Source organism: Homo sapiens, chromosome 20 (genome assembly GCF_000001405.40).
Source record: "Homo sapiens chromosome 20, GRCh38.p14 Primary Assembly".
NCBI lineage: Eukaryota > Metazoa > Chordata > Mammalia > Primates > Hominidae > Homo > Homo sapiens.
Window position 1 is genome coordinate 18601778 of NC_000020.11, and position 24845 is coordinate 18626622.

The 24845-nt window shown below is 42.0% G+C and overlaps 1 protein-coding gene and 2 pseudogenes across 2 annotated transcripts in view; 1 reads left to right on the top strand and 2 right to left on the bottom strand.

Moving 5' to 3' along the window:
• DTD1 (D-aminoacyl-tRNA deacylase 1) overlaps positions 1-24845 on the top strand; it is a 178591-nt gene that overhangs the window by 13724 nt on the left and 140022 nt on the right. The gene's annotated exons all lie outside the window — the stretch shown is intronic.
• LOC124904973 (uncharacterized) lies at positions 6616-6672 on the bottom strand (annotated as a pseudogene).
• On the bottom strand, positions 9270-9390 carry RNU6ATAC34P (RNA, U6atac small nuclear 34, pseudogene; annotated as a pseudogene).

Consider the following 24845-nt stretch of genomic DNA (forward strand, 5'->3'; position numbering starts at 1 on the left):
CACCATCATCAAAGACCAAAAGTAGATAAAACCGCAAAGATGGGGAAAAAACAGAACAGAAAAACTGGAAACTCTAAAACGCAGAGCGCCTCTCCTCCTCCAAAGGAACGCAGTTCCTCACCAGCAATGGAACAAAGCTGGATGGAGAATGACTTTGACGAGCTGAGAGAAGAAGGCTTCAGACGATCAAATTACTCTGAGCTACGGGAGGACATTCAAACCAAAGGCAAAGAAGTTGAAAACTTTGAAAAAAATTTAGAAGAATGTATAACTAGAATAACCAATACAGAGAAGTGCTTAAAGGAGCTGATGGAGCTGAAAACCAAGGCTTGAGAACTACGTGAAGAATGCAGAAGCCTCAGGAGCCGATGCGATCAACTAGAAGAAAGGGTATCAGCAATGGAAGATGAAATGAATGAAATGAAGCGAGAAGGGAAGTTTAGAGAAAAAAGAATAAAAAGAAATGAGCAAAGCCTCCAAGAAATATGGGACTATGTGAAAAGACCAAATCTACGTCTGATTGGTGTACCTGAAAGTGATGGGGAGAATGGAACCAAGTTGGAAAACACTCTGCAGGATATTATCCAGGAGAACTTCCCCAATCTAGCAAGGCAGGCCAACGTTCAGATTCAGGAAATACAGAGAATGCCACAAAGATACTCCTCAAGAAGAGCAACTCCAAGACACATAATTGTCAGATTCACCAAAGTTGAAATGAAGGAAAAAATGTTAAGGGCAGCCAGAGAGAAAGGTCGGGTTACCCTCAAAGGGAAGCCCATCAGACTAACAGCGGATCTCTCGGCAGAAACCCTACAAGCCAGAAGAGAGTGGGGGCCAATATTCAACATTCTTAAAGAAAAGAATTTTCAACCCAGAATTTCATATCCAGCCAAACTAAGCTTCATAAGTGAAGGAGAAATAAAATACTTTACAGACAAGCAAATGCTGAGAGATTTTGTCACCACCAGGCCTGCCCTAAAAGAGCTCCTGAAGGAAGCGCTAAACATGGAAAGGAACAACTGGTACCAGCCGCTGCAAAATCATGCCAAAATGTAAAGACCATCGAGACTAGGAAGAAACTGCATCAACTAATGAGCAAAATCACCAGCTGACATCATAATGACAGGATCAAATTCACACATAACAATATTAACTTTAAATGTAAATGGACTAAATTCTCCAATTAAAAGACACAGACTGGCAAATTGGATAAAGAGTCAAGACCCATCAGTGTGCTGTATTCAGGAAACCCATCTCATGTGCAGAGACACACATAGGCTCAAAATAAAAGGATGGAGGAAGATCTACCAAGCAAATGGAAAACAAAAAAGGCAGGGGTTGCAATCCTAGTCTCTGATAAAACAGACTTTAAACCAACAAAGATCAAAAGAGACAAAGAAGGCCATTACATAATGGTAAAGGGATCAATTCAACAAGAAGAGCTAACTATCCTAAATATATATGCACCCAATACAGGAGCACCAAGATTCATGAAGCAAGTCCTGAGTGACCTACAAAGAGACTTAGACTCCCACACATTAATAATGGGAGACTTTAACACCCCACTGTCAACATTAGACAGATCAACGAGACAGAAAGTCAACAAGGATACCCAGGAATTGAACTCAGCTCTGCACCAAGCAGACCTAATAGACATCTACAGAACTCTCCACCCCAAATCAACAGAATATACATTTTTTTCAGCACCACACCACACCTATTCCAAAATTGACCACATAGTTGGAAGTAAAGCTCTCCTCAGCAAATGTAAAAGAACAGAAATTATAACAAACTATCTCTCAGACCACAGTGCAATCAAACTAGAACTCAGGATTAAGAATCTCACTCAAAGCCGCTCAACTACATGGAAACTGAACAACCTGCTCCTGAGTGACTACCGGGTACATAACGAAATGAAGGCAGAAATAAAGACGTTCTTTGAAACCAACGAGAACAAAGACACAATATACCAGAATCTCTGGGACGCATTCAAAGCAGTGTGTAGAGGGAAATTTATAGCACTAAATGCCCACAAGAGAAAGCAGGAAAGATCCAAAATTGACACCCTAACATCACAATTAAAAGAACTAGAAAAGCAAGAGCAAACACATTCAAAAGCTAGCAGAAGGCAAGAAATAACTAAAATCAGAGCAGAACTGAAGGAAATAGAGACACAAAAAACCCTTCAAAAAATCAATGAATCCAGGAGCTGGTTTTTTGAAAGGATCAACAAAATTGATAGACCGCTAGCAAGACTAATAAAGAAAAAAAGAGAGAAGACTCAAATAGACACAATAAAAAATGATAAAGGGGATATCACCACCGATCCCACAGAAATACAAACTACCATCAGAGAATACTACAAACACCTCTACGCAAATAAACTAGAAAATCTAGAAGAAATGGATACATTCCTCGACACATACACTCTCCCAAGACTAAACCAGGAAGAAGTTGAATCTCTGAATAGACCAATAACAGGAGCTGAAATTGTGGCAATAATCAATAGTTTACCAACCAAAAAGAGTCCAGGACCAGATGGATTCACAGCCGAATTCTACCAGAGGTACAAGGAGGAACTGGTACCATTCCTTCTGAAACTATTCCAATCAATAGAAAAAGAGGGAATCCTCCCTAACTCATTTTATGAGGCCAGCATCATTCTGATACCAAAGCCGGGCAGAGACACAACCAAAAAAGAGAATTTTAGACCAATATCCTTGATGAATATTGATGCAAAAATCCTCAATAAAATACTGGCAAACCGAATCCAGCAGCACATCAAAAAGCTTATCCACCATGATCAAGTGGGCTTCATCCCTGGGATGCAAGGCTGGTTCAATATACGCAAATCAATAAATGTAATCCAGCATATAAACAGAGCCAAAGACAAAAACCACATGATTATCTCAATAGATGCAGAAAAAGCCTTTGACAAAATTCAACAACCCTTCATGCTAAAAACTCTCAATAAATTAGGTATTGATGGGACGTATTTCAAAATAATAAGAGCTATCTATGACAAACCCACAGCCAATATCATACTGAATGGGCAAAAACTGGAAGCATTCCCTTTGAAAACTGGCACAAGACAGGGATGCCCTCTCTCACCACTCCTATTCAACATAGTGTTGGAAGTTCTGGCCAGGGCAATTAGGCAGGAGAAGGAAATAAAGGGTATTCAATTAGGAAAAGAGGAAGTCAAATTGTCCTTGTTTGCAGATGACATGATTGTATATCTAGAAAACCCCATTGTCTCAGCCCAAAATCTCCTTAAGCTGATAAGCAACTTCAGCAAAGTCTCAGGATACAAAATCAATGTGCAAAAATCACAACCATTCTTATACACCAACAACAGACAAACAGAGAGCCAAATCATGAGTGAACTCCCATTCACAATTGCTTCAAAGAGAATAAAATACCTAGGAATCCAACTTACAAGGGATGTGAAGGACCTCTTCAAGGAGAACTACAAACCACTGCTCAAGGAAATAAAAGAGGATACAAACAAATGGAAGAACATTCCATGCTCATGGGTAGGAAGAATCAATATCGTGAAAATGGCCATACTGCCCAAGGTAATTTACAGATTCAATGCCATCCCCATCAAGCTACCAATGACTTTCTTCACAGAATTGGAAAAAACTACTTTAAAGTTCATATGGAACCAAAAAAGAGCCCGCATCGCCAAGTCAATCCTAAGCCAAAAGAACAAAGCTGGAGGCATCACACTACCTGACTTCAAACTATACTACAAGGCTACAGTAACCAAAACAGCATGGTACTGGTACCAAAACAGAGATATAGATCAATGGAACAGAACAGAGCCCTCAGAAATAACGCCGCCTACCTACAACTATCTGATCTTTGACAAACCTGAGAAAAACAAGCAATGGGGAAAGGATTCCCTATTTAATAAATGGTGCTGGGAAAACTGGCTAGCCATATGTAGAAAGCTGAAACTGGATCCCTTCCTTACACCTTATACAAAAATCAATTCAAGATGGATTAAAGATTTAAACGTTAGACCTAAAACCATAAAAACCCTAGAAGAAAACCTAGGCATTACCATTCAGGACATAGGCATGGACAAGGACTTCATGTCCAAAACACCAAAAGCAATGGCAACAAAAGACAAAATTGACAAATGGGATCTAATTAAACTAAAGTGCTTCTGCACAGCAAAAGAAACTACCATCAGAGTGAACAGGCAACCTACAAAATGGGAGAAAATTTTCGCAACCTACTCATCTGACAAAGGGCTAATATCCAGAATCTACAATGAACTCAAACAAATTTACAAGAAAAAAACAAACAACCCCATCAAAAAGTGGGCGAAGGACATGAACAGACAATTCTCAAAAGAAGACATTTATGCAGCCAAAAAACACATGAAAAAATGCTCATCATCACTAGCCATCAGAGAAATGCAAATCAAAACCACTATGAGATACCATCTCACACCAGTTAGAATGGCAATCATTAAAAAGTCAGGAAACAACAGGTGCTGGAGAGGATGTGGAGAAATAGGAACACTTTTACACTGTTGGTGGGAGTGTAAACTAGTTCAACCGTTGTGGAAGTCAGTGTGGCGATTCCTCAGGGATCTAGAACTAGAAATACCATTTGACCCGGCCATCCCATTACTGGGTATATACCCAAAGGACTATAAATCATGCTGCTATAAAGACACATGCACACGTATGTTTATTGCGGCATTATTCACAATAGCAAAGACTTGGCACCAACCCAAATGTCCAACAATGATAGACTGGATTAAGAAAATGTGGCACATATATACCATGGAATACTATGCAGCCATAAAAAAGGATGAGTTCATGTCCTTTGTAGGGACATGGATGAAATTGGAAATCATCATTCTCAGTAAACTATCGCAAGAACAAAAAACCAAACACCGCATGTTCTCACTCATAGGTGGGAATTGAACAGTGAGATCACATGGACACAGGAAGGGGAATATCACACTCTGGGGACTGTGGTGGGGGGGGGGAGGGGGGAGGGATAGCATTGGAAGATATACCTAATGCTAGATGACGAGTTAGTGGGTGTAGCGCACCAGCATGGCACATGTATACATATGTAACTAACCTGCACAATGTGCACATGTACCCTAAAACTTAAAGTATAATAAAAAAAAAAAAGCCATTCCTAGTTTACTGAGAGTTTCTATCATGACTGGATATTAAAGTTCATCACATGCTTTTTCTGTGTTTATGGATGTGAAGATGTGATTTTTCTTCTTTAGCTTGATTGATTAATTGATTTTTGAGTTGAACCAGCTTTGCATACCTGGGATAAATCCCACTTGATCATGGTGTATAATTCTTTTTATACATTGTTGGATTCTATTTGCTATTTTGTTGAGGATTTTTGTGTCTGTATTAATGAGAGGTATTGGACTGTTGTCCAGGCTGGAGTGCAGTGGTGCAATCTTGGCTCTGCAACCTCTGCCTTCCGGGTTCAAACGATTCTCATACCTCAGCCTCCTGAGTAGCTGGGATCCAGGTGTGTGCCACCACACCTGGCTAATTTTTGTATTTTTAATAGAGACGGGGTTTCACCATGTTCGCCAGGCTGGTTTCGAATTCCTGACTTCAAGTGATCTACATGTCTAGGCCCCAAAGTGCTGGGATTACAGGCATGAGCCACTGCGCCCGGCTCTTGTAATTTCTTTATCTGGTTTCGGTATTAGGGTAGATTCTGGCCCCATAGAATGAGTTGGGAAGTACCCCCACTGCTTCTATCTTCTGAAAGAGATAGATTGTAGAGAATTGGTATAATTTATTCCTTAAATGTTTGATAGAATTCACCAATGACCCCATCTAGGCCTGGTGTTTCTTTTTGAAAGGTTATTAAATATTGCTTCAGTTTCCTCAATGGATATAGGTCTATCCAAATTGTCTTTTTCTTCTTCTTTCTTTCTTTTTTTTTTTGAGATAGAGTCTCGCTTGGTCACTCAGGCTGGAGTGCAGTGACACGATCTCAGCTCACTGCACCCTCTGCCTCCCAGGTTCAAGCGATTCTCCTGTCTCAGCCTTTTGAGTAGCTGGGATTACAGGTGCATGCCACCATGCCCAGCTAATTTTTGTATTTTTAGTAGAGAAGGGGTTTCACCATGTTGGCTGGGCTGGTCTCAAACTCCTGACCTCAGGTGATGCACCTGCCTCAGCCTCTCAAAGTGCTGGGATTATAGGCGTTAGCCACTGCACCCAGCCTGTCTATTTCTTCTTGTGAGAGTTTTGGCAGATTGTACCTTTCAAGAAATTGGTCTTTTCTTAATTTCTTTTTTTTTTCTTTGGGAACCCTGAGAAACTAAGGGAATTGGTCTTTTTGTCTAAGTGATCAGATTTGTGGATATAGAGTTGTTCGTGGTATCCCCTTACCCTCTTTTTAATGTCCATGGACTCTATAGTGATGTCCTCTGTTTCATTTTCGATATTGGTGATTTGTGTCCTCTTTTTTTTTTCTTAGTTATCCTTTCTAGAAGCTTATTGACTTTATTGTTTCAAAGAGCCAGCTTTTGGTTTGATTTTCTCTACTGGTTTCCTATTGTCAATTGATTTGTGCTCTATTTTTTTTTTTTAAAAAGTTTATATGCTAATCTTCTCTGTATTGTTCCAATTTTAGTATATGTGCTGCTGAAGCAAGCACTCTGCTCTAATTTTTGTTATTGCTTTTCTTCTGCTTACTCTGCATTTAATTGCTCTTGTTTTTCTAGTTTCCTATGAAAGAAACTTAGATTATTGATTTTAGTTCTTTCTTCTTTTCTAATAAACACATTTAGTGCTATAAGTTTCTCTTTTCCCCACTTTTGTGCTAAGAATTTTGTAATAAGTCTTCAAAACTTTGTGTGTAGTTTATACTTAACAATTCGGACCAGCCACATTTCAGGTGCCCAATGGCCGTGTATAGGCCATGGCTGTCATATTGGATAATGTAGATTTAGGTCTCTGCTTACCTGTTTATTCTTGGGTGTGCCAACCTAGTTCGACTAATCAAGACTTAGCTAGAAAATGTCTTAGAATAATGGTCCTGGTTTTCAGGAGAACTGTGATTCTGTGAAGACTTTAAGGGCGTCATTCATTTCTAGTTTCTTTTCATGTTTCTGGGGATAAATTGCACTAAATATCATCATATTTTACCCTTTTCTTCAAGGTTACTGGAAAACACATTCATAGGTCTTCATGGAGAAATACATAAGAAAAAAATTTTTTTTTTAAATTAGAAAACATAGCCTCCTTTGTTAATGCATTTCATTTTGAGCCCTTCCTAAGTAGAATGTGTTTTTCAATGTTGAACTGCAGTATCTGTTGCTCTAGTTACACCCTTTTGTAGACAGTTATTAACTTTATTTTTTTTTTTGACAGGGTCTCACTCTGTCACCCAGGCTGGAGTGCAGTGGTACGAGATCTCCGCTCACTGCAACCTCCACCTCCTGGGCTCAGGTGATCCTCCTACCTCAGCCTCTCAAGTTGCTGGGACCACAGGCATGTGCCACCACACTCGGCTAATTTTTTTTGTATTTTTTTTTTTAGTAGAAATGGTGTTTCACTATGTTGCCAAGTCTGGTCTTGAACTCCTGGGCTCAAGCAATCTACCTGACATGGCTGCCCAAAGTGCTGGGATTACAGGCGTGAGCCACCAAGCCCATCCTAATTGTTAACTCTTTAGTGTTTCCTATGCTCTAACTTTCTCTCTCTGGATTAAGCAAACCCAGATTTTTTTTTTATTAGGCCTACTTTCAACCTTAATAAAATTTTTGAAATTTTTTTGAAGCTCTGTAGCAGAGCCCACATTGAGGATTGTCAGCTCATTTGATGTGCTCATGTTTAGATGGGTGATATTCCTACTCCTCCTTGGCATTTCCTTTTAATTCTCTTTCTACTTGTAAAAAATGTCCATTTGCTGTAAGAATACATGGATTCTAGATGAACAGAACATTCCCACCTTAATTCAAATCCCACTCTTACTTGGGTTCTGATAGAGCAGAATAGATTTGCCTCTCCTGGAAATATCCAAATTTAGAACTCCATTTACAAGTCTGGTCATGGATGTCTCCAGTGGTTTTTCCTACCCTATGTCCACTGGGATCCTCCAAAGTGGTTTGCTGCAAACATGTTTCTTCACAGAATGAGTAATTAAGTCAAATCCTCTGAGTAATTATTTTTCTTTTCTGAGACAAAGATTAGATGCTGCCAGCATTGTTCTTCTCTGCTTGCAGGTGTTTGTGGAATCATTCCATTTCTGAGTAATCTCAGATGAGTTTTAGAATGCTCTAAAGTCCCTTGAAACATAGATGAAAGTAAGGAATATCAGAAAAGCATAAGTGAAGGCATTTTAAATGGGTGAACATTTATAGTTGTTAAGGAATGCTTGAATGAAAGGAAAACTGCTTTCAGTCTGCGTTTTTAAAGAGGATAGTTTATTATTATTGGGTGTTTGTATTCCTAAAAACACCTTTTATTTATTTCTTTTTGACAGAGAGGGTCTTGCTATGTTACTTAGGCTGGGCTTGAACTCCTGGGCTCAAGTGATCCTTTCTCCTCAGCCTCCCAAGCTGGGACTACAGACGGTGTGCCACCACACCTGGCATACTTCTTGAAATAATGTATATTTTATCTAGGTAATTATATGAAGTGCCTGGGGCAATCATAAATAATTTTATAATGGATCAGAATTTAAGCTCATGGTGTATAATACATCTGATCATTTTGATGAAAAATTGACATAAATTATACACAGTTTTTTAAAAGGATTTTAATATTACAATTTAATGCATTTTGGAAAAGCAAATGTAAAATGACTTGGGCTTAAAAAACCAGAATTTATGGCTGGGTATGGTGGCTCTTGCCTGTAATCTCAGCACTTTGGGAGGCCAAGACGGGTGGATTGCTTGAGCCCAGGAGTTTAAGACCAGCCTGGGCAATATGACAAAATCTCGTCTCTACAAAAAATGCAAAAAAATTAGCCACACACGGGGTTGTGTGCCTCTAGTCCCAGTTATTCAGGAGGCTGAGGTGGGAGGATCGCTTTCACACAGGAGATTGAGGCTGCAGTGAGCTGAGATGGTGCTGCTGCACTCCAGCCTGGGTGACAGAGCGAGACCCTGTCTCAAAACAAAACAAAAAACACCAGAATGTACAATTCTGTGAATAGTCAGAGACAAATCATAGAACTATTTTGATTACAAGTGCAAAGTAATTTTAATGTTGGTTATAGATTTACTTTCTTATTCCCCTAATAAGAGTAAAAAATCATGGTTAGATGCTACGAAGTAGGTGGCAATGCCTTAACCTTATGCATGTTATCAGGCCCAAGGGCCCCTTCCATCCTTGTCAAGGGCTAACCTTTTCTCCTTTCATACAGCATATACAGACAGTTTTAATCAAAATTTATTTCCAAATGTTTTGAACTTCCAGAAGTCCTACAATTATATCAACAGTGTGTCACATTTTCTTTTGGCCTTGTCTCTTTTACAGCCTCCAATGAAACAAAATTCATAGAGCATGCGTTACACACTTGCTGTCTTTTGCTTAATTTTGAGAATTTGGCTTCCAGCTCCAGTATGAAAAGGCTCTGTGAGCCCAAGGGATGTTGGAATGCAGATGAAATGCTAAATACATTTTCTTTATTTTAGGATTTTTAAGACCACTTCAGCAACTTTAAAACGTAAAGTTTAATTAGATTTAACATTTTTTCACTCCCTTCTCCTTTCCTAAGTGAAATTTTATTTTACATTTATATTTGATTTGTTTCTCTTATTTGTTGTTAGTGACAGAGAGAAGATCGTTGTCCCCTTTGTTCCTTCTCTGTGTTCCTCACATCCCTGCCAGCACCCATGCGGTTAGGGACATTTCCTCATCTGCCGCAGCTCTTCCCACATGGTCCCTGCTGTGATGCATGTGCCCACAGCAGGCCGGCTCTCTTCGTTCCTGTTGTTTTATGGCCCGCTTGGTAATATAACCCCAAGCTCTTTCACTTGTTCTGTATACAGTGGAACCCTGGAGGGGAAGCTAGTTATGGTTTGGTCCTCACGCATGTTTTTTTAAAATTATTATTATTGTTATTATTTTTGAGACGGAGTCTTGCTCTGTCACCAAGGCTAGAGTGCAGTGGCACGATGTCAGCTCACTGTAACCTCCGCCTCCCAGATTCAAGTGATTCTCATGCCTCAGCCTCCCGAGTAGCTGGGATTACAGGCGCCCACGACCGTGCCCGGCTAATTAATTTTTGTGTTTTTTTTTTTTTTTTTTTGAAACGGAGTCTAGCTCTGTCGCCCAGGCTGGAGTGCAGTGGCGGGATCTCGGCTCACTGCAAGCTCCGCCTCCCGGGTTCACGCCATTCTCCTGCCTCAGCCTCCCAAGTAGCTGGGACTACAGGTGCCCGCCACTACGCCCGGCTAATTTTTTGTATTTTTAGTAGAGACGGGGTTTCACCGTTTTAGCCGGGATGGTCTCAATCTCCTGACCTCGTGATCCGCCCGCCTCGGCCTCCCAAAGTGCTGGGATTACAGGGGTGAGCCACCGCGCCTGGCCCACACATGTTTATTATTATTGTTAGTTAATAACATGCCAAAATACCTCTGTTGAGGGCTTGTTATATTCCAGGCCCTGTGCAAAGCAAACACTCTTTCATTCTTTATCTCGTTGAATACTCACAACAATTCTAAGAGGTGAGTATGAGGATTACTGCCATTCTGTAGGTGAGGTGCAGCACGGTAACCTATGGAAGGTCACTCAGCACGTAAGTGGCAGAGCCTGGAATCGAACCAGCAGCTGTCTCTAGAACCTGAGCTTCACTGATATCTTTGCTTCACTGTAAAATTCACATCTTCTTGGCTTATTGGCCTTTTCTGTTATCTTTCTTTTTTTTTATTTTGCGACAGAGTCTCACTCTGTCGCCCAGGCTGGAGTGCATTGGCGCAATCTGGGCTCACTGCAACCTCCTCCTCCCAGGTTCAAGCGATTCTCCTGCCTCAGCCTCCTAAGTAGCTGGAACTATAGGCGCCTGCCACCACACCTGGCTAATTTTTGTATTTTTAGTAGAAGCAGGGTTTCACCATGTTGGCCAGGTTGGTCTGGAACTCCTGACCTCAAGTGATCTGCACACTTCCGCCTCCCAAAGTGCTGGGATTACAGGCGTGAGCCACTGCACCTGGCCCTTTTCTGTTATTTTTCTGTATTTATTGAGTCTACTGGGACTTTCCTGCCTTCTCCGTCATGATCAAGGAAATCAGCGGAGGGGTTTTTGGGCCTCATTTGGGCCTAGGAAGGGGAGCAGTGTGCCCTGAGGCCAGAGTGTCCTTCCTTTCTGAGCAGGATGTTCATCCAGGATTTTAGTCCTGTTTCTGCTGGGGGAGATGTTATTGGTTCCATTCAAGTCAGTTTTGTAACTTATCCATCAATAAGACACTTTATCTGTCAGCCCTTGTGCTAGGCTCTGGGTATACAGTGCCGAGTAAGAGTGATGCAGTTCCTGCCCTAAAGGAGCTCACGGTCTAGAGAAGAGAGATACTAAACTAGTGTGGCTGTTTCTGCCACAGCGTGGTAACATTCCTCAGAAACCTCCTGCTCTGCGAAACTGTTGCTAAAACTCTCAGGGCTTATGGGAAAAATGGAGTTAATAGCAGAACACCAAAGTCCTGTGGCTGGGTTGGAAGGCAGTAGGCACTTGTTTTTTATTTTCATAAGATACTTTTAGGGGCTTCTGCTGCCAGTGCTGAGGGCTTTTCTGCTGAAGGCTGTCATTTTATTCCCACTAGTCTGGCTCTCCTTGTCTGAGAAAACCCACCTCTGCTGAGATACAGCCTCTGTGGTATATGCACTTTCATTTACCAGTTGTATATGAGCGATTCTCCTTTCAGAAACAAGTGTCATCAGAACCTTCTGAGGTGACTGGTGTGATGCATACTTTGAGGGAGTGTTAGGGATGAATAACAGGGTTAGTTGCTAAGGTGGTGGCTGCACATGTGCTTGGGCATGATTTTGTCTGAGCTGTGTTTAGGTCATTTGTTGATTCTTCTTGACTCATCAAACCAATACCCATGCAGAGTGTTGTTGATCTTTATGCTTGTATGTGGGTATGTACTGTTGCCCCTCGTTGAATATTGACTGGCCACTAGGGTGCATGCTATTTAAATTGGAAACACCCCCACTGTTTTTCTTTTATATTTTACATAAAGTGTAAAAGATTGGAGACAGTTTCGCCATGTTGCCCAGGCTGGTCTCAAACTCCTGGGCTCAAGTGGTCTGCCCGCCTTGGCCTCCCAAAGTGCTGGGATACAGGTGTGAGCCACTGCACCCAGCCTATTTTTCTTTTAAAAACTCTCTGAGCCTCTTCTTCTATTGTAATGACCTGGGGCACTGGACAGACCAGCCTCAGAGCAGAGATCAGGTTTTCCCAGCATGCTCCTGCTCAAGCACTGAGCATCCCACATCCCTAGAAACCCCTAAGTCCTGGGCAAACTAGGATGGCTGGCCACCCTAAGAAGCAGCCCTGTGGCAGTGCAGTTCTCGGGAAAACTTGGGCCAGGTGATATCCTGAATGCATTGTGTAAAAATGCACTCCTCTTTGCATAGGAGACAAGGTAGGGCTAGGATGAACATCGGGGCAGGAGGATTAGCTGTCTGCTTCGGCTGGAGAAATGACAGAGTTCACGGCCAGGTCCCCAGTAAAGCCGCTGGAGTATCCAGCTCTAGGCAGGTGTGTGACTGGCCTGAGCAGGTTCAAGAGGTTCAGGGACAGACTTGGATGGAGGAGTGGAAGAGAGACCACATTGCTGAAAAACACTGTTGGCAATCTGGCAACTTGGTCATCTGGTGCACTGGCTGACTTCTATGTTTGTTAGCGGCAAAGACAGCCGGGAGAGAGATTTAAGCTGAGATGAGAAGGATGAGAGAAGCTGCAGGCTGTAGTATCAGGAAGGGTTTTTTGTGTGGGCCCATTTAGAGGCACTTCCTGTGTCCCAGCAAGCTCCCTAGGCTTGCACACATTTTCCCTTCTCCCTCCCTCTCTCCCTTCCTCCTTCCCTTCCTCCTGCTCACTCTTTCTTCCACTCTCCTTCAATCCCTTCCTTCCTTCCTTTCTTCCTTCTAAAACGGCCGCAGTGTACCCTCTTCCCCTTTCTGCTCTCCTCCCCCTACTCCTCCCAACTTCTCATCCTTGGCCTCCCCACGTTGCTGGGCTCCTCCCAACCTGGTGGTCTCAGGGCAGTTGGCTTCATAACATGGTGCTGGCTTCCTCCACAGTGAGCATTGCAAGAGCAGGCATTCCAAGATGGGAATAGATGTGCTGATCCCTTCAGACCAGGCCTGGAAAGTGGCACAGCCTCACTTCTGTCATATAATGTTGGTCAAAGCAGTCTCACAGCCTACCCCGATTCAAGGGGAGGAGATACAGTCCCACGCTGTAATGACAGGAGTGTCAAAGAGTTTGAAGCCATCTCTAGTCTTCCACAGCTCATAACCCTGCTGCTCTCAAAGGGTAGAACTTTCCTCATTTCATGGCTGTTTCTCGAATCATTGCTTTAGGGGAAAAACTAGTGAATAGTCCTGTCATATTTTCCCCTCTACTGAGAATGAGCTAAACGTTGAGGGTGCATTATTGGGTCCCCAGACTGAGTAGGCACAGGAAACTGGGTCACTTGTATCCTCAACAGCCCTTCAGGGATCTCCAGCCTTCACATGAATGCTGAAGGCCCCATTTGGCAGGAGGCATTGAACGCTGTCCAAGTTGAGTGTTAAGCATGTATTGCTTTTATAGTTAGAAAAAAAACAAGTTATACCAAAATGGAATAGTGGAGAAGGGCAACCTTTGCTCTCAAGCTTCTAGTTCCAGCTCTGAGGCATTTGTAATGGGCTCAGGGAAACATTCACTAGTCAGCTTTGTTCAGCAAATCAGAAGCTGCTACAGTATTCAAAAGGATTACCTGTATATTCTCTGCTGGGTCTGATTTGTTGTGGGCATCTAAGAGCTAGAGAAATGTGGACAGACACGTCAGGAGGGCAGCAGTTTATGACCGCTTCTGCTCTGTGTACTCCATGGGACGTCCATGATGCCCGTGCCTCTCCCGCTTCATAATGCAAAGAGAAAGTGCCAGGAGCTGGAAGACCACGTCTAAGTTTTTGTTTTGTGCTTAGTACTTGATTTCTGTGGATTTGTTTAATTTTCTACTCTGTTTACTATTTAAAGCATTTTAACAGCATGAGTGAACTTTCAGTGGAAGCCTGTTCTATATACTTTGGCAAAGACTGTGATGCCAAAGGCATTATTTTTCTTGTAAATTTAGGAAATTATAATGTGGGATCGTGTCTTCATTGTTAATGAATGGCAGGGTTGGCAAACTGTGGTACAGGCTGTTGCTCTTGTGTAAAAGTTTGACACAGATGTCCAACTGATTTTGGCCAAATACATTTATATTTTCTCTCATTCTTTCCTTTTCTTTCATTCTCTTCATTAATTTGCTTACTGACTTCATTATTTATTCCTGCATGTCTCTTTTTTGGTCTTACATGTAAATCATCTTCACAGCTACAATGTAGCATACCTCTTCCCAAATGGCAAACTATATCTACTTTCGTTATTAAACCCTGTCTTTTCGTGATTTCATTGATTTGCTTAGTTGATTGTCTATTGTGAACAGCAACCTGATCTTGCCAGTTCTCCCTTCCCCTACCTAAAATAACCATGGCCACCCTAAAAGCAATGTCAGCCACCACAGTGGCTCACACCTATAATCCCAGCACTTTGGGAGGTCGAAGCAGGAGAATCACTTCAGCCCAGGAGTTCTAGACCAGCCTGGGCAGCATAGCAAGACCCCATCTCTAAAAAGAAAAGAAAAAAAGAAAAAAAAAGAAAAAATTAGCTGAGTGTGATGGTGCACGCCTATAGTCCCAGCTAATTGAGAGGCTGAGGCAGGAGGATTGCTTGGGCCCAGGAGTTCAAGGCAGCAGCAAGCTATGATCACACCACTGCACTCTAGCCCGGGTGATAGAGTAAGACCCTGTCTCTAAAAAATTTTTTTAAAAAAGCAGTGTCAGTGGTATGGTGGGGTTTTGCACTCCTGCACTAATGGCAGCATGCCTTATGCACAGTGGGTGCTTTGTGATTTTGTGCAATGAATGCCTCTGGGTCTCAGGAGATGAGGACTGGTCCATTTTGGTGGCTTTGCCATCCTTTCTATTCTTTCCATTCTCTCTGGGCTCTTTCCCCCTCCTGTCCTTATTCTCCTTCCTCACTTTTATCTCATTTCCTGAATTTCCTCCGCACTTCTGGCCATGAATTGCAGGATCAGCTCTTTCTCCTTAGCCGAGAGTCTATGATACAATTCAATTGGAAGAAATAAAGATAATTTTTAAAAGAAGATACAGGCATAGGTAGAAAGAAACTTCTGTTCAGTGTTGTTACAATCCAAGTAAGTAAGGTGACTTGGGATGAAACGAAAAGTCTGAATCATTCAGCAGGAGGAATGGGAAGAGTTCAAAACCTTATTGATTCAGGGACTACGAATTCAGAAAAAAATTATATATAATATATATAATATTAGATATATAATTTTTAATAATGTGTATATATAATATAATGTATATACATATACACACACATATATATTTGTGACCATATATATGAGGGTTTACTTCTGGACTCACAGTTCTAGTTCATTGTTCTATGTTTCTGTACTTACACAGTACCATACTGTTTTGATTACTGTAACTTTGTAGTAAGTTTTGAAATTGGGAGGTGTGAGTCCTCTAACTTTATTCTTCTAATTAATGATTGAATAGGTAGTAGGATGAGGTAGTTCAGACATCAAAATGATATGAAAAGGTCTAAACTGGAAAGGTTTGCTCTCATTCGTGTCTCTGTCCAGCCTGTTTTTCTTGCTCTCTAGAGGTAATTACTTTTATTATTTTTTTCTATCCATCTATCCATTTGCAAATGTGAGCAAATATGAATTTTAAAAATATTCCCCTTTCTATACAAAAGGTATGATGTGATGTACTGTTTTATATCTTGGCTTTAAAAAAAAATTCACAGTGTGTCCTAGAGATTCTTTTCATACCAGTTCATAGAGACTTCTTTCTTTTTTTTTCTCTTCTATTCTGAACAAATTAAATCTCTCTTTTTAAACTGCTGTGTACTGTTCTGTGGCAGGACCATAGCCTGGCTTATTTAATAGATCTTGTATTGTTGGACTCCTGGATTATTTCTAATTTATGTCTCTTAAAAACAACAGTGACATGATGAATACATTTGTACATATGCCACTTCATATGCAGTCGGGAGATACCTGTTGGAGAAATTCTCAGAAATGGGATAGACGGTGCCAGATGGCCGTTTGTAGGCACCGCACCTTTCTGCAGTGTGAGACTACCATATTTCTCCTAGCTCTGTTGGCAGAGTGTATTTTGAACTTCTAGAATTTCACCCATCTGATAGATATCCCATTGTAGTTTTAATGCACAGAGTGTGGTTGGACATTTTTTCAGATGTTTGACTGACTTATTTCCTTTTCTCTTAACTGTTTATGTGCTTTGTCCTTTTTTTGTTTTTGTTTTTTTGTTTTTTTTTGAGACAGGGTCTGGCTCTTTGTCACCCAGGCTGGACTGTAGTGGCATCATGATCATGGGTCACTGCAGCCTCAACCTCCCAGGCTAAAGCAATCCTCCCACCTCAGCCTCCTGAGTAGCTGGGGCCACAGGCATGTTCCACCATTCCCAGCTAATATAGATATAAAAATTATATATATGAACACATCTATAATACATATTAATACATATATAATACAAAAATTATATATACATACATATGTGTGTGTATATATGTATATGTATATATAATTATACACATATATGTGTATATATACATAATTTTATACACACACACACACACACACACACACACACACACACACACATATAATTTTTTTTTTTGAGATGGAGTTTTGCTCTTGTTGCCCAGGCTGGAATGTAATGGCGTCATCTTGGCTCACTGCAACCTCCACTTCCCTGGTTCAAGCAATTCTCCTGCCTCAGCCTCCCGAGTAGCTGGGATTACAGGCACCTGCCACCATGCCCAGCTAATTTTTGTATTTTTAGTAGAGATGGGGTTTCACCATGTTGGCCAGGCTCATCTCGAACTCTTGATCTCAGGTACTCCTCCTGCTTTGGCCTTCCAAAGTGCTGGGATCACAGGCGTGAGTCACCGTGCCTGGCTATTTTTATATTTTGTAGAAACAAGGTCTCACTATGTTGCCCAGGCTGGTCTCAAGTTCCTAGGCTCAAGCCGTCTTCCCACCTTAGCCTCCCAAAGTGCTGGGATTACAGGCATGAGCTACCTCCCCTGGCCTGTTCATTTTTTCTGTCAAGTTATTTGTCAGGTTCTTTATTTCTGTGAGTGCTTTATACATGCTATGAGTTGCAGCTATCTTTCTCTATTTTGTCATTTGCCCCTTGACCTTGCTTAAGGGACTGTTTGCTGGGTAGACAATTTTGATCCCTAAGCAGTAGATTGTCAATTTTTTGAAATGTCTGCTGGCTTTTGAATCAAGTTTTCTATGACTCATATGACATTTTCTACTCCAAAATTACAAAGAAATTTGGCTATTTTTGCCTCTCCTCCTTTTTTTGTTTTTAATTTTTTTTTGGAGACGGAGTGTCACTCTGTTGTCCAGGCTGGAATGCAGTGGCACAATCTTGGCTCACTGCAACCTCCGCCTCCTGGGTTCACACGATTCTCCTGCCTCAGTCTCCCGAGTAGCTAGGACTACAGGTGCACACCGCCACGCCTGGCTAATTCTTTGTATTTTAGTAGAGACAGGGTTTCACTGTGTTGCCCAGGCTGGTCTTGAACTCCTGAGCTCAGGCTATCTGCCCGCCTCGGCCTCCCAAAGTGCTGGGATTACAGGGGTGAGCCACCGCACCTGGCCTCCTCTCCTGCTTTTATGCTTTCATTTTTTACTTTGAAATCTTTTATCTGTTTGTAGTTTATCCCATATAAATGTAAAGCATGGATTGAACACTTATCTTTTTCTTCAGGTATTTACTAAATGGCTTCCCAAAACTATTTATTTAAAAAGCAACCTTTAGCTTTACTAACTGAGTTTCTGGCTTTATCTTCTAGTAAATTCTTGTATGTATTTATGAACTTTTAAATTTTATTTATTATTTTTAGTTTTTAATTTTAATTTTTAAAAACTTCCATTCACTGAAAAAATTTCATTTCTATCTATTCTTTTTGTCTGTCTGTCTTATCTGTATATATGCTGAAGACACACTGTTTTAGTTATTGAGGATTTTTACTATGCTTTCCTACCAGGTAAGGTGAATTTCTCCCACATTGTCCTTTAGAGTTTTTCCTAGCTCTTCTTAAATGTTTATTTTTTCATATGAATTTTTAAATCAGCTTATTTACTTCCAGAAAGTAATCATGTTATTTTTACCTGGAGTGTGTTAAAGTTATGAATTCATTAATCCTCTGGGTCCCCGTATTGGACACATTAAGTTTGGCTGCCTGTTTACATATCCCCTCTTGGGTACCTAAGAGACCCCCAAACTCAATGGGTCTAACCCTGATCTCTTAATTTCACTTCCTAACCCCAACCTATGCCACTGTGGGCTTACCTATCTCAGTTGGTGGCAACGCCAGCCTTCTAGTGGCTTAGGCAAAAAACCTCTCAACTGAACCAACTAAATTAATGCTGGATGGAATATATTTCTTTAACTCTTTTGTATTTCATTTTATTCATTTTTATTTTTAAAAATTTTCCTACAGCTTTCATAGGCTGACTTTCTTTTTTTCTTTTTTTTCTTTTTTTGAGATAGGGTCTCATTCTGTCACCCAGGCTGGAATACAGTGGCATGATCATAGCTCACTGTAGCCTTGAGCTCCTGGGCTCAAGCAATCCTCCTGCCTTAGTCTCCAAGTACCTGGGACTATGAGCATGTGCCACCATACTTAATTTAAAGAAATTTTTTTTAAGAGGTAGAATATTGCTGTGTTGCCCAGGCTGGTCTGGAACTCCTGGGTTCAAGTGATCCTCCTGCCTCTCAGCCTCCCAAATACCTGGAACTATAGGTGCATACCGCCTTGCCTGGCTGTTAACTTTTTATTTTGAAATAATTTAGGCTTACAGAAAAGTTTGACAAATAATAAGATTCATCCAACTTCTATTGATAACATTTTACATAGTACAGTTATCAAAATGAGGAAATTAACACTGATAACATACTATTGACTAAACTACAGACCTTATTTGAATTTTGCCAGTTGTCCCACTAATATCCTTTTTTCTGGTCCAGGATTCAATCCAGAATTCCAAACCGCATTTAGTTGTTGCAGCTCCTTAGTCTCTCCCAGTATGTGGTGATTACCTTGTCTTTCCTTGTTTTTCATGACGTTGCCATTTTTGAAGAGTCACTCATTTTGTCAGTTTGTAGAATGTCCCTCATTTTGTGTCCGCCTGATGTCTTCTCATGATTAAAGTTAGGCATTTTTGGCAGGAACACTACAAAAGTGATCTTGTACCCTTCTCAGTGCATCGTGTTGGGGCATATGATGTCGACATGTCTCATTATTTGCCAGATTTTTCTCTGTCAAGTTACTGTTTTCCACTTTGTAATTGGTCTGTGTTTTGTGTGGAGATAATTTGAGACTATGCAAATATCCTGTTACTCAGCCTACTCCCACTCACTAATTTTAGCCTCCATCCATGGTCTTTGCCTGTAACAGTTATTACTGAAGTACTTGCTTAATCAATCCATCTTTTTTTTGAAGTAAGTTTATTCCATATATATATTTGCATTAGAAGTGTAAAAACAAATTAGGACTTTAATAAAAATCTTATGTATTTTTAAGAATGGTTATATTCTTAAATGATCTGTGTATGCTAAAATGGCTGGGTGAATCTCATTATCTTGGTTAGCATTCAATTACTAGATCCAGAACATCTTGGCTAATATATTTACTTTTTTAAAAAAATTTTTTTGGCCAGGCGTGGTGGCTCACGCCTGTAATCCCAGCACTTTGGGAGGCCAAGGCAGGCGGATCACAAGGTCAGGAGATCGAGACTATCCTGGCTAACACGGTGAAACCCTGTCTCTACTAAAAATACAAAAAATTAGCCGGGCATGGTGGTGGGCGCCTGTAGTCCCAGCTACTCGGGAGGCTGAGGCAGGAGAATGGCGTGAACCCGGGAGGCGGAGGTTGCAGTGAGCAGAGATTGTGCCACTGCACTCCAGCCTGTGTGACAGAGCGAGACTCTGTCTCAAAAAAAAAAAAAATTATTTTGCTTTAAGTTCTGGGATACATGTGCAGAACGTGCAGATTTGTTACATAGGTATACATGTGCCATGGTGTTTGCTGCACCTATCAACCTGTCATCTAGGCTTTAAGCCCTGCATGCATTAGGTATTTGCCCTAATGATCTCCCTCCCCTTGCCCCCGACCCCCTGAAAGGCCCTGGTGTTTGATGTTCCCCTCCCTGTGTCCATGTGTTCTCATTGTTCAACTCCCACTTATGACATCTTTTTAAATACATTGATTTACTTCCTAGGGGGTGAGGAAGATAATTCAGGGTGCCTAAGTTACCTGACTGCAGGAAAAAGAGGTCCCTACATAGTCTTCTTAAAGAAGCAGGTTTCTAGCCAAATTAAGAGTTTCATTTTTAAACAGGAAGGGAATTTCATTTTCTCCAGGCTTTTTCACTAAGTGTTAACCTGATAAATGCATTTCCTAATCATGAGCCATGCTGATTAAACCTTCCCTGGCCACTGCATAGTGTTCTTCTAATAAATGCCTGCAAGAAATTTCCCAAGTGTTGTTAGTGTAGAATTTTTGCATCTGTATTCAAAGGAGAAATTTGTCTATGCTTTAAAAAAAATTCCTGTCTAATTTTAGTGTAAGGGTGATACTGGCCTTGCAGAATAGACTAGAAAGCTTTACATCTTTTCCCGTGGTCTGGACCAATTTAAATCACATAGGCGTTACTGTTTAATAGAACTTGTTAGTGATCTCTTTGGGCCGGCTTCCTTGGCTGTTGCCAAGGAAGTTTCCCAATATCCCGCAAGTTCCTCTGGGCAGTGCACTTTACCTGTCCTCTCCTTCACAGCTGGATTTTCCAACTTATTAGAAGACAATTTTATAGAATTTTTTTTTTTTGTCTGAGATGGAGTCTTGCTCTGTCGCCAGGCTGGAGTGCAGTGGCGCGATCTCGGCTCATTGCGACCTCCGCCTCCCGGGTTCAAGCGATTCTTCTGCCTCAGTCTCCTGAGTAGCTGGGAGTACAGGCGTATGCCACCATGCCCAGCTAATTTTTTGTATTTTTAGTAGAGATGGGGTTTCACTGTGTTAGCCAGGATGGTCTCGATCTCCCGACCTCGTGATCCGCCCGCCTCAGCCTCTCAAAGTGCTGGGATTACAGGTGTGAACCACTGTGCCTAGCAATTTTATAGATTTTTAAAATTATTTTGAAAGATCTCTATATCTAGAGTCACATTAATTTTCTCATGTCTTTTGGTTGTATTTTCCTCCTTTTTTTCTTAATCAGCGTTTTTAGTTTTTTTTGTATTTCATTGTTTTGCTTTAATCTTCTTCACTCTTTTCACTTCATCTTCTTCACTTTAATGAGTGTGTGATTTATTTGGTTTCTTTTCCTGGTTTCTTATTTCATTCGGGTTTAGTCTTATTTTCTAATAATTTGGTTTTAGTCTTATTTTCTAATAAATGCACTTATGGGATGAAACTTCAGAGTTTGGCATGGCTCCTCCTCCCCACATCTGCTCTATCAGCAAATCCTGTTTGCCTCACCTGGGACATGCACACGGAAGCTGAGAGCAGAACGCCGCTTCTGCACCCACCCTGGCGCAGGCCGTCTGCATCTTTCATCTGAATTTTTGTGACAGCCTATTAATGGGCCTCCTGCGTCCAGCCGGGTCTCCTTTCAGGACATACCCAACACAGCAGCCTGAGTGAGCCACTTCCCCCATGTGTTCTATGGTATTATAATAACATACTTTTAAGTTAGGAAAACTTACAGGGATCACTTTCTCTTACTTCTCAACAGTACTTACAAGAAGAACTGTGTGTGTGTGTGTGTGTGTGTGTGTGTGTGTAGAGACAGAAAAAGAGCATGCACAATAGAGGGCATGCTACTCCAGGGACTATGGCTCTTGTCATGGGAGTGACAGGAACTGATGGAGGGTGGTTCTGAGCAGAGGCTCACTCTGGCCATGGGGGTGCCCTGTCAGGGAAGGAAGCCTCACCAACTCAGACCAGTCTACCTTGGAGCCTATGTTAGGCTGCTCCTGCTGTCTTTTGTCCTTGGAGGCTCTGAACTGGGTCAGAACCCTGCCATGAAGCCCTTCCAAGGCCACTGTGCTCCCAAGGTGAAGACTTATTCCCTAGGCTGTTTCCCAAGCCGTGTCCAGCCACAGTGCCCAGCCCAGCACACCAGAGCTCCTGCAGTGAGGTTAAGTGACAATATACTGCAATAGTAAAATACATAAGAAACTCATAATAAAGTGCCAGCAACATGGAAATGCACTGGATTTGAATGCAGACCCTATCCCATTATCACAGTCCCAGGGAGAAATTACAGGCCAAGATTAATTCTGTAACATAATCAAATCCAAAAGCTTTGAAGACCGAAGGAAGTAAGATATGAAATCATATCCCAAGACATCATGAGCTCAGAAGCCACCTCCCCTGCTGTTCTTTGTGGAAGGGTGGCCATGCTCGATTGAGTCTGGGTTCATGCAGCAGCCTTGTCCAAGCTGTGTCTGAGATGTGTCATACAGGTGTCCTTGTAGGTCCTTTGGGGGGACTCAAACACTGCATCATCCCCACACAGGCTTCCTTGAGCCTCAGTTAGACAACCATATAGCCTTCAACCCTACAGAGTTATCCCAGGCAGAGTGATGTCAAGGACCCCAGCAGGGCCCAGAGATGTCTGAGCAAAGTTTGATAATCAGGGAGCTCCTTGCCTTGGATCTCCTGTTATGCAAGAAGGCTACCTTAATTGCCTTGAATTTATGACCTCAGGATGTAGGCATAGTTGGGAATTTAACTTCCCAGCTAAAGGTAAACTTTGGTCCTAGACATTTACCGTCGTAATGTTTGTTTCTTCTCATGGCTTTGACACTCTTTAGTTTGGAATTGAGGGTGGCCCTGTTAGTGAAAGGTGCCCTCACTTTTCCATAGTTAGGTATTTTGGGTCCTCCAATCCTTCTTGCTACAAAGTTCCAGGCTTGAGACACTTGTTTCCAAGAAATGAATCTGTTGTAGACACCGCCCTCAGATGTAGATACCACCTCTGCGCTGTTGCAGAGCCAAGTGGAGAACCCTGATAAGGGGAGCCCAAAGCCTGGGAAGAAGCCACAAGAGCCCCAGGTCTGCCTTTCCACTTCCCTCCATGGCCCTGAGTGTGGCATGCAGTCAGACCTAGGCCTAGCCCTCAAACTGTGAGAAAATCAGCTGCCAGGGCCTGAAGGGCCTGTAATACACCCATTTGCTGACAAAACAGATATTTTCACCACCAAGTCACTTAGGACTTGTCATTCCTAGAGCTACTGGTCTCTGCCTAAGGCCCCAGAGCCCTTGCCTCAGCTTTCCAGGCACCTTTGAGCCAGGCGTCTGCTGCTGTGTTGTCCCAGTGGTGGTTCACTGGCACTGGCCCAGCCTCTGGGGCACTGGGGATGCCAAGGAACACTCCTGTCTCTGTAGAAGCAGCCCTGTACTTGAGGTCAGAACCACCATGGATGCTAGCGGCTTCCAGAGTCATACTCCCAAAGGCTCTAGGCACAATCCTGCGCATCCAGATCAAACTCCTCTAGCAGGCAGTGGCTCCAGCCTGGCCCCAGGCTTATTTTGAACCCCTCAATGCCACTGATTTGCTTAATTTCTTGAGGTCCCAGCCTGTAACCCACTGTTGGGGTTTCCATCAGTAACAGCCTCCTGCCTGCTCAGGTTCTGAACAGATTGAAAGTAGAATGAAGAGGAAGCCTGTGGGGTGAGAATGCCTCCTTGGTGGCAGATAACTGCCTTTAGGGGATGTGCTTAGATGGGCTGACCTGAGGCTTACTGTCTAGTGCCCATGTCCCATACTGGTCCCCAAAGGTTGGCTGAGGTCCAGCCCATTCATGGCCACACAGGGCCAGCTCTGGAGAGCAGCGAATGTGGGCTTGCTCCCAGCCAGGCCAAGAAGCATTGGTACACGCCTTTTGTTCTCCCCATTTTTCTTTCAGAGTATACTTTTTTGGCATAATATTTTTCTGTCCCATCCCTGCAATTTGCGCATATACTACCATGGACAGTGGTAGGCATGACAATAGTAATAATAGTGACTATGATTTCCTGTACACTCACTGTGCTGGGCTGTGTACTAACCTATGTGCACCTTTGTAACCATCCCAGGACAACTGTCCTGTTGCACCAGAACAAACTGGGGCCCGGAGAGGTGGTGTGAGCCTTCTTGGCTGGTGGCTAAAGTCAGTGAAGCATTGTCCAGAGGGGCATGGACACCAGTTTTTGTAGCTACACAGAGAATCTGCAGGGAGGCACTCTGGTTTACAGCTGTTAGGGCCTTGAAAAGTTCTGCTGGAGATGAGTTCATGGGTGGTTAGTCTCCAGCTGAGAGCTTTCCTGCTTTAAACATGCAGCATAAGCGTGTCTAACATGTGCTTAACCTGCAGCTCTGGGTAGAAAGAAAGCTGGGACTTAATATTTAAGAACAACTTGATTATATCACCATAGGAGCCCAGATGTCATTTTATAGATATGCTTTTGTGTGAGTGTGTGTTTTTTTTAAAATGTGTTTATTTTCTCTGGTT